Genomic DNA, 11802 nt, shown 5'->3' on the forward strand with positions numbered 1-11802 from the left:
TTATTTTTGAGTATTTGTAGTACATTGTATTAAAAAATTCTTTAGAAACTTATATGCCTCATATAAAGCATTTTAAAGTTCTGGGCCTACATCTCCAGGGTCCTATATTCTTTTAACTTTGACCCAATGTTAATTTTTAAATCTTTAAATTTTTTTAAATTAAATTTTTAAATTTTTAAATTATTTAATTTGACCCAGGTTCCTCACTATTTTGATAGTTTTTTGATGCTTTAAAGGTTATTTTTATTACATATTTTGCTCATTTCTTAAATTATTCCCAGAGAGAGAATTATTACACAATATTTTCTCAAGAGACATTAAAATTATGACTGCCAACTTTTACCAGGACAAAAGAAACACACATATTTATATCTGGTGGTTGTGATATCTTGATTTTTTTTTGTTTTCTTTTGTTATTACATAGGATTGACTCTTTGATATATATGTTACTCCCAAAGTACAACTTTGGATATAAAATATTTATAAAATACAAAAGAAATGGTATCATTTGACAAAAATTTGATATTTATAAAAGCTTAGTACATCAAAGATTGTCAATGCCAAATAAAATAATGCAATAAAAATAATAGTGGCTCCTTTCTACAAAAACATTAGTAAAATATGCTTTGTGAATTTGCTAGGGATATTTTCATATTAGAGTACAGTTTTAAAATATAAACAAAACTAAGATTTTAATGAATACATCACTGCTCCAGAAGCCTGGCTAACACTTTGCCCATTTTTATTTTCTTACTACTATATATTTCCTTTTTCTCATTTATTTAGTTTCATTTTTCAATTTTTAAATCATGTAATGTTTCTTTCCCTTTTCTTCATTCCTCTTCCATCTATATGCTCCTGCAAATTTCTCATTTTCCATATTATTAGTTTTCTCATATGTTCATTTATTCCACTAAACTATTATTTAATTCACATTAGGTATGCATAAATTAATGCTTCTTCCGAGAGCTTTCTTCTAGTAGATTTAATCTCTCTGAGGAGGGTGGACTGTCTGAGCCCAGGAATTCTAGACCAGCCTGGGCAACATGGCGAAACCCCCATCTCAACAAAAAATACAAAAATTAGCGTGGTGTTGTGCTGCACACCTATAGTCCCAGCTACTTAGGAGGCTGAGGCAGGAAGATTGAGTTCAGGAGGTCAAGGCTGCAGTGAGCTGTGACTGTGTCACTGCACTCCAGCCTGAGAGACAGAACAACACCCTATCTCAAAAATAAATATAAAAATAAATAAAATAAAATGAAAAATAAAATGTAAAAGTTAACATAGTATGAAACAACAATTTTTTTGAAAGTACTAAATCTCAAAAGTTTTAGGTATAGTTAATTTATTTATTATTTTTTCCCTATATTCTTATGCTGTAAATTATGTTTAATGATTCTTTTCATCTTTAAACCATGTTAATTACACAACTGTTACAAAAGAGAAATGATTTGCATTTCACTTCAGAATCAATGCCTTGAGGTCATTGCCATGAACCATGAAATTAAAATTTGCAAATGCAAAAAGCTCTGTTCAAAGTGAGACATATTAACAAAATTATATTCCTAATTTGATTTCATCCCATTTTCAATATGATACTGGATAGACAAAATTAACTAGTCAGTTTATATTTTAAAACCGTACTCTAATATGAAAATATCCGTAGCAAATTCACAAAGCATGTTTTACTAACATTTTGGTAGGAACGAGCCACTATTATTTTTATTACATTATTTTATTTGGCTTTGACAATCTTTGATGTACTAAGCTTTTATAAATATCAAGTTTTTGTTAAATGATACCATTTCTTTTGCATTTTATAAATATTTTATATCCAAAGTTGTACTTTGGGAGTAACATATATATCAAAGAGTCAATCCTGTGTAATAACAAAAGAAAACAAAAAAAAATCAAGGTATCACAACCACCAGATATAAATATGTGTGTTTCTTTTGTCCTGGTAAAAGTTGTCAGTCATAATTTTAATGTCTCTTGAGAAAATATTGTGTAATAATTCTCTTTCTGAGAATAATTTAAGAAATGAGCAAAATATATAGTAAAAATAATCTTTAAAGCATCAAAAAACTATCAAAATAGTTTTCATATGTTGCAAATTGACTAAAATGTAATTGATGGCCAGCTATAGTGAAAGTCATTTTTCTCTGCTTGCTTCCTTGTTCCTTGATACATATACTTATTATAATTCCTCCCTCATAACCACTGTGAGAAAGCCAATATTTCTTTTGTTTCAAAATATATGTGATGCATCTGGCTGACCCTGAGGCAAAGAGACTAAGAATCTTCATGTCTTAAATGGGCCCATTAAATCAAGAACTAGTTCTCAACAATGATAAGACTCTATCTCATTGATTCTAGAAATAAACCTAAGATACATGTTATAATTAAATATGAATGAATTTAGTGTTCAGTATGCAGCTTCATAGTTAAACTCTTTACGCATTTTTAGGCTGTGTGGATTTTGGAAGAAATAACTTTACAAAAATAATTTCTGAAAATATATGTTATACACAAAGTTTAAAAATATGACTGTAATTCATATGTTTATAGTGCATAGAAAGATTTTCAAGTAGTTATTTGAATCCAAAGATGTAGCTAAAATAAAATATAGAAAGTAAATTTTTATGAACCTTACTTCTGTCCAACTGGCAGATTGAGATGACGAATGATTCTTCCTCCTAGTTCAGCTATGTGCAATTAATTACTTGATTAAATAATAATCCTTAGCTTTTGGTGCTGAAAGGAAGTTGATGGTGTTTAAATCATAGGATTGGTGGTATTAGAATTTGGATTCGGTATAAACAGATTGTGTCTAGGATTTGAATTGTCTAAAAAAGGCTGAGAATCAAAAGTAAAGTCCCTTGACCCCATGTATACTCCTCGATCTGAGTCACTGATATTTAGAATGTCAGGGAAATATTCTTCACCTGCTTGCCTCTAGGGTTCCTGCATAATTTAAGCTATCTGCACCATATTCTAGGAAGAAAAAAGGTAAACATTATCTAAAGTAGCAAAGTAGTGTTGAGACTATAATCACACTAGCTGTGCAGGACAAGTACTAATGATGACTTGTCCAGAACTGGTAAAATCTTTAAGGACATTGTATCAGCATAAGAAAACTACCCCATGGGGTAGGCTCCATAATACCTCCTACTTTTAGGAATCCATATTTATCTCACTGTGGATGATCTAAGAAATGAAATTATCTCCACAATAAAGTCCATTGGCCAAAGACTGCTGGCAGAGCCACAGTGGGAGAATCGTTGGTAAAAGAACTGAAGATAATGGAATGATTTGAAGGAAACTTAAATTGAGTATACTCCAAATGTTCAAAAAGATAAAAGATGGAATCCAGAAAGGTATAAAGATTTTAAAACAAGAAAGATTTGAAGAGAACAAAGTAAATGAAAAATACAAAAAAATGTATTTCCAAAATATAACATAACAAACCTCAAAAAACAAAGTGTAGTAAAGAATTCATCCATTAATTGAAGGTAGATAACATGATAGGTTAAGACATTAGAATATAGGTCTATTTGTATTAGCAAAATAGGGGATAGAGGAATAATAGAATGGAGGAATGGGAAAGAGGCCATCTTTAATGAGAAGATAGCTGAGAATTTTCCAGAATTAGAGAAATATTTAAATTCTTAGATTAAAAAATTAAACCTTAATTATACATTTATAAAACCATAGAAATTCAAAGTTTGTGAAGAAAAGTTAAAAGCTATCAGATGAAAAATCTGAGCATACCCAAAAGTATGCCAATCAGAATTACAGCAGATTTTTTATCATAAGATAACATTAAGAAAAACAATATTATCCTCAAAGTGTGTCTTTTAAAAATTATCAGTCAAGAATCCTATACTAAGCTAAACCATAATTTAAGCATGCAGAAAAAATAAAGCTCTTATCAAGAAAAGTATCTAGAAAAAAGAATGAAGATTCAAGTTGTAATGATTAGCAAACAAATAATTTGAGACAGATAATTATTATATAATGATTATGTAATATAGATAATATTTTTTTTTTTTTTTTGAGACGGAGTCTCGCTCTGTCGCCCAGGCTGGAGTGCAGTGGCGGGATCTCGGCTCACTGCAAGCTCCGCCTCCCGGGTTCACGCCATTCTCCTGCCTCAGCCTCCCAAGTAGCTGGGACTACAGGCGCCCGCCACTACGCCCGGCTAATTTTTTGTATTTTTAGTAGAGACGGGGTTTCACCGTTTTAGCCGGGATGGTCTCGATCTCCTGACCTCGTGATCCGCCCGCCTCGGCCTCCCAAAGTGCTGGGATTACAGGCGTGAGCCACCGCGCCCGGCCAATATAGGTAATATTTTAATGTGCCTTATATCACTGTAAAAGTTAAACCAAATAACTTATTCAAAACAATTGACAGATTATGTAATAATATTTTTACATTTAGAAACTAACAGAGCTAAAAGAGACAAGTAAAGCTAGCACTTGAAAATGTTGAACAAATTTTCAGGAAGTTTAAGCAAAAGTAAAGTCTTTGAAGTGTCCAGAAAGAAGCTAAAAAATATTAATTAATTTTGTATATAAACATGCATACACATGTGTAATATATTTCATCAAAGGCCCGTCATAAAAAAATGCAGAATAACAAGTACTTATCTGATAGAAAATAAAATTGACTGAGGAATACTTTATCTCAAACTCTTGGCTCAAGTGATCCTCCTGTCTTGACCTCCCAAAGCACTGGGATTACAGATATGAGCCGCTGCACCCCGCCTCAGAAATATTTTATCAATCCAATAAAAATAGAAAAGAAATGAACTAAGGTAAATACATTGTAAATAGAATATAAATTATACAGGACAAGGAAATATAAAAACAATAACAACATAGTTATAAGCAATAATGTAAACTGAATAAACTCACAAATTAAAGCCTGTTAAATTGAATTTTTAAATAAAAATTTCCAATTATATTCCATTAAATTGGAGTTTGTAGGGCATAATATAATATGGAGATGTTAAAAATATAAGAATGGAAACTATATAACCAGGAAAGGAATGTATTAGCTATATTTTTATCTGTCATTCTGTCTATATAAATACAGATAGGTCTTTAAAAAAAACATTGTTTATTAAATAATTAATTGAGAAATGATACACTCTTGTAACATGTATACATTTTTAAATGCAAATAATTACCCAATTAAAGAATAACAAAAAACAGATTAAAAAGATACACACTACATTCATGGTATTAATTGTGTTTAGGGAAGCAGAAAGCTAAATGGGACTCAAGATTACATGAAAATAAGACATTATTCAAACAGAGAGTTAGCCATATGCAATATTTTATATTTTTAAAACAAAATCAAACAAGAAATCACAAGAACCACATGTGACAGTGTTAAAATAGTTGATTCTAGTTGGTGTCTATTGTATTCTCTCTCTCTCTCTCTTTGCGTGTGTGTGTGTGTGTGTGTGTGTGTGTGTGTGTGTGTGTGTGTATGTTTAGGCCTGAGTGAAAATACCTTAATCTTCAATTCTCTAGTCTATTTTATATTCTTAACTTTTATTATTCAAAATCTAATAATCAAAATAAACAAAACAGAAATAACTATAATAAAAGAAAAAAGAGGGGCAACATCTCTGATAAGCCCTTAATTGGGCTTATTTTTAAGTTTGTTATTACCAAAGTGAATGAGGAATATTACTGAAAGACATAAGCAGATAATGTTAATTTCTAGCCATTTTAGTTTCATCTGAACTTCTACAATAATGTTTTCATTTTTTTAATCGTTGGTCTTTTGCAGGTTTCATGTAGTCCTAGTTATAGCTTAGTTCCCATCCAGCATCATCACGTGATCCAGCTAACACTCACCAAGGACATTCCTTTGCTGTTTTCAATTATCTTCAATGAACCATTTCAAAAGAAAAAAAAAAAAAGCATGCCTGCTAAAATTGCCAAAATCTAATACTGCTCTTCACGAAGTCTAATTATGGCAAAATGGTAGTCTTTGTTTCAATAAATGTCCCAAGTGCAAAAGTAGCAGTAATTCAAATCTCTGTGTGTGTGTGTGTGTGTGTGTGTGTGAGAAAGGGAGAGAGACAAAGAGAAAGAGACAAAATATGTTCGTTTTTCTGTGTGAACAATATGGAATAATAAATTTTAGTAATTTTGGAATAGCTAGTCAGTGTAGACAAAATGAAAAGTTAGAATGGCATTTATTTAAATATTTGGACACTGACTATGTGAATTGTAAACAACTTTTTTGTGGTTATTACAGTCAATTGGTTTAAATAAGTTATTTGGCTTAACTTTTATAGTGATACAAGTTACATTCAAAGCAATATATATTTTACAGATAAAATATCGGATCAAGCGAAAAGCTAACTAGCAATAAACACTGAATTCTAAGTGATTAAATTTACTCTTTTCATGGACTAGCACAGTCTGATAATTTATTTTATGTATAACAGAATGTTTTTAGCCATGTTATTGTAGCTAAATCTCTCTTTCTCTCTTCTTACTCTTTTTCCACATTTGTATTTATAATAAACTAGAAAACCATTACAGTAGGTGTATTCTTTCTCAAATAAATTTGTCTTGTCACTAGAGACATATACAATCTAAATTGGGTCCTAAGTAAAGCTTAATATATAATATTGAACAAATAAAGAGCAATTACATGCATGTGTTCTGGTTTTTTTTTTTTGAGGGAATAAATGAAAGAAAATGAATTTAATGTGTAAGCAATTACACAATTGTTGATAATATTGTGCTGGCCTTGTTCCCTAAATGGGGAACATGTTGCATGTCATATCATTACCCTTAACTATGTAATCTGCCATGAAAAATGGTAAAGTGAAAAAAATACACATTTTTTAAAAATGTCTACATATTTATAACTCCATATTTCATAGCTACTATACCTATGACATTTTCAGGATAACTATTTCTCAGTTTACTAGCACCACAGTTTTTAAAATCTGGAGTATCAAAAATAGCATCAGATTTGAGTAGAACCTAATTAATATAAAGCACAAGGCAATAGAATTTATTTTAAAATGTTAATAGATCTATTATTTTTAATTTAAATGATTTTTAAAATATGAGAATTAAAATTAGCAAGCACTGATCTTGTGATTACTGTTGTGTACATTGATTTCCACTTTTATTTTATTTTATTTTATTATACTTTAAGTTCTAGGGTACATGTGCACAATGTGCAGGTTTGTTACATATGTATACATGTGCCATGTTGGTCTGCTGCACCCATTAACTCATCAGTTACATTAGGTATATCTCCTAATGCTATCCCTCCCCTCTCACCCCACCGTACAACAGGCCCCAGTGTGTGATGTTCCCCTTCCTGTGTCCAAGTGTTCTCACTGTTCAATTCCCACCTAGGAGTGACAACATGTGGTGTTTGGTTTTCTGTCCTTGCAATAGGTTGCTCAGGATGATGGATTACAGCTTCATCCATGTCCCTACAAAGGACATGAACTCATCCTTTTTTATGGCTGCATAGTATTTCATGGTGTATATGTGCCACATTTTCTTAATCCAGTCTATCATTGATGGACATTTGGGTTGGCTCCAAGTCTTTGCTATTGTGAATAGTGCTGCAATAAACATACGTGTACATGTGTCTTTATAGCAGCATGATTTATAATCGTTTGGGTATATACCCAGTAATGGCATGGCTGGGTCAAATAGTATTTCTAGTTCGAGATCCTTGAGGAATCTCCACACTGTCTTCCACAATGGTTGAACTAGTTTACAGTCCCACCAACAGTGTAAAAGTGTTCCTATTTCTCCACATCCTCTTCAGCACCTGTTGTTTCCTGACTTTTTAATGATCACCATTCTAACTGGTGTGAGATGGTATCTCATTGTGGTTTTGATTTGCATTTCTCTGATGGCCAGTGATTATAAGCATTTTTTCATGTGTTGTTGGCTGCATAAATGTCTTCTTTTGAGAAGTGTCTGTTCATATCCTTCGCCCACTTCTTGATGGGGTTGTTTGTTTTTTTGTTGTAAATTTGTTTGAGTTCTTTGTAGATTCTGGATATTAGCCCTTTGTCAGATGAGTAGATTGCAAAAATTTTCTCCCATTCTGTAGGTTGCCTGTTCACTCTGATGGTAGTTTCTTTTGCTGTGCAGAAGCTCTTTAATTTAATTAGATGCCATTTGTCAATTTTGGCTTTTGTTGCCATGGCTTTTGGTGTTTTACACATGAAGTCCTTGCCCATGCCTATGTCCTGAATGGTATTGCCTAGGTTTCCTTCTAGGGTTTTATGGTTTTAGGTCTAGCATTTAAGTCTTTAATCCATCTTGAATTAATTTTTGTATAAGTTGTAAGAAAGGGATCCAGTTTCAGCTTTCTACATATGGTAGCCAGTTTTCCCAGAAACATTTATTAAATAAGGAATCCTTTCCCCATTTCTTGTTTTTGTCAGGTTTGTCAAAGATCAGATGGTTGTAGATGTGTGGAATTATTTCTGAGTGCTCTGTTCTGTTCCATTGATCTATAACTCTGTTTTGGTACCAGTACCATGCTGTTTTGGTTACTGTAGCCTTGTAGTGCAGTTTGAAGTCAGGAAGCGTGATGCCTCCAGCTTTGTTCTTTTGGCTTAGGATTGACTTGGCAATGTGGGCTCTTTTTTGGTTCCATATGAACTTTAAAGTAGTTTTTTCCAATTCAGTGAAGAGAGCATTGGTAGCTTGATGGGGATTGGCACTGAATCTATAAATTACCTTGGGCAGTATGGCCATTTTCACAATATTGATTCTTCCTCTCCATGAGCATGGAATGTTCTTCCATTTGTTTGTGTCCTCTTTTATTTCGTTGAGCAGTAGTTTGTAGTTCTTCTTGAAGAGGTCCTTCCATCCCTTGTAAGTTGGATTCTTAGGTATTTTATTTTCTTTGAAGCAATTGTGAATGGGAGTTCACTCATGATTTGGCTCTCTGTTTGTCTGTTATTGGTGTATAAGAATGTTTGTGATTTTTGCACATTGACTTTGTATCCTGAGACTTTGCTCAAGTTGCTTATCAGCTTAAGGAGATTTTGGGCTGAGACGATGGGGTTTTCTAAATATACAATCATGTCATGGGCAAACAGGGACAATTTGACTTCCTCTTTTCCTAATTGAATACCCTTTATTTCTTTCTCCTGCCTGATTGCCCTGGCCAGAACTTCCAACACTATGTTGAATAGGAGTAGTGAGAGAGGGCATCCCTGTCTTATGCCAGTTTTCAAAAGGAATGCTTCCAGTTTTTGCCCATTCAGTATGATATTGGCTTTGGGTTTGTCATAAATAGCTCTTATTGTTTTGAGATACGTCCCATGAATACCTAATTTATTGAGAGTTTTTAGCATGAAGGGCTGTTGAATTTTGTCGAAGACCTTTTCTGCTTCTATTGAGATAATGATGTGGTTTTTGTCTTTGGTTCTGTTTATATGCTGGATTACGTTTATTGGTTTGCATACGTTGAACCAGCCTTGCATCCCAGGGATGAAGCCCACTCGGTTTGCCAGTATTTTATTGAGGATTTTGGCATCAATGTTCATCAGGGATATTGGTCTAAAATTTTCTTTTTTATGTTGTCTCTCTGCCAGGCTTTGATATCAGGATGATGCTGGCCTCATAAAATGAGCTAGGGAGGATTCCCTCTTTTTCTGTTCATTGGAACAGTTTCAGAAGGAATGGTACCAGCTCCTCCATGTACCTCTCGTAGAATTCAGCTGTGAATCCATCTGGTCCTGGACTTTTTTTGCTTGGTAGGCTACTAATTATTGCCTTAATTTCAGAGCCTGTTATTGGTCTATTCAGGGATTCAACTTCTTCCTGGTTTAGTCTTGGGAGGGTGTATGCGTCCAGGAATTTATCCATTTCTTCTAAATTTTCTAGTTTATTTGCATAGGGGTGTTTATAGTAGTCTCTGATGGTAGTTTGTATTTCTGTGGGATCGGTGGTGATAGCCCCTTTATCATTTTTTATTGCATCTATTTGATTCTTCTCTATTTTCTTCTTTATTAGTCTTGCTAGCGGTCTATCAATTTTGTTGATCCTTTCAAAAAACCACCTCCTGGATTCATTGATTTTTTGAAAGGTTTTTTGTGTCTCCATCTCCTTCAGTTCTGCTCTGATCTTAGTTATTTCTTGCCTTCTGCTAGCTTTTGAATGTGTTTGCTCTTGCTTCTCTAGTTCTTTTAATTGTGATGTTAGGGTGTCAAATTTAGATCTTTCCTGCTTTCTCTTGTGGGCATTTAGTGCTATAAAATTCCCTCTACACACTGCTTTAAATGTGTCCCAGAGATTCTGGTACGTTGTGTCTTTGTTCCTATTGGTTTCAAAGAACATCTTTATTTCTGCCTTCATTTCGTTATGTACCCAGTAGCCATTCAGGAGCAGGTTGCTCAGTTTCCATGTAGTTGAGCAGTTTTGAGTGAGTTTCTTAATCCTGAGGTCTAGTTTGATTGCACTGTGGTCTGAGAGACAGTTTGTTATAATTTCTGTTCTTTTACATTTGCTGAGGAGTGCTTGAGTGCTTTACTTCCAACTATGTGGTCAATTTTGGAATAAGTGTGATGTGGTGCTGAGAAGAATGTATATTCTGTTGATTTAGGTTGGAGAGTTCTGTAGATGTCTATTAGGTCCACTTGGTACAGAGCTGAGTTCAATTCTTGGATATCCTTTTTAACTTTCTGTCTCATTGATCTGTCTAATGTTGACAGTGGGGTGTTTAAGTCTCCCATTATTATTGTGTGGGAGTCTAAGTCTCTTTGTAAGTCTCTAAGGACTTGCTTTATGAATCTGAGTGCTCCTGTATGGGGTGTATGTATATTTAGGATAGTTAGATCTTGTTGAATTGATCCACTTTGTATGTGATGTTTCTGTACCATCCTAAAATATTATTTATGCTGGCTGATTGTATTTTCAAAATAATATAAATGTATATTGATTTAGTTCTGGGCAATTTAAAATAATGGTAATATTTAAGACTGTATTTAATGTAATTGACAAATCTGATAATTCAGAGATTGGGGTCTATCAATTTCAAAGTGATATTAGACTTGGAGGACAAAATTCCACAGAGAAGGGATCCACATAAAGTGAACTCAAATATCTTTGCACAATTTCTCCCGAAGTATTTGGCACCTGAGATAAACAAGCTCAGTGAGATACTACAACAGTTTGTACAGAAAACAGCAACTGAAAAGCTAAAGAATTTCTCAGAGGTTTCAGCAGCAGTGGAATACTGGGGAGGAAGAGGTCTATAACCAGTAAGATGAGAAACAATCCTAGTTTGCAGGTAAGACCCCAGAGGGGCACAGACAAGGGGTAGGGGCTAAGAACTAGAAGGAAGGCCAAAGTTGAAGAAATTCAGCCTGAAAGAAGAAGAAAAAAAGAAGCCTAAAACTAATCCTCTGTGGAATCGAAAGAATCAGCCTCTGCTCTATTTTCTGTCCAGAAAAATGTTTAACCCCCTTTGAGAAAAATATCAAACAGAGCATCTGTGAATTTCTATATATGATATCTGGCATTAAACACAAAAAAAGTATGAGGTATGATTTACCAAAAGCAAGTGACCAAAAACCAAGATAAAAAATTGACAAATCAGACATCACAGCTTACAGACAAGAATTTTATATAATGATTAATATGTTGGCAAGAATAGAGAAAAAAAGGAGACTATCAATATAAACTTCAAATCTTAAAAGATTCAATTTAAGTGTAATTTTAAAACCTCAAAAGGGTCCATTCAAAATTCTAGAAGTTAAAAATTATGTAGCTGAATACTCTG

This window comes from Homo sapiens, chromosome 12 (assembly GCF_000001405.40).
Source record: "Homo sapiens chromosome 12, GRCh38.p14 Primary Assembly".
Taxonomy (NCBI): Eukaryota; Metazoa; Chordata; class Mammalia; order Primates; family Hominidae; genus Homo; species Homo sapiens.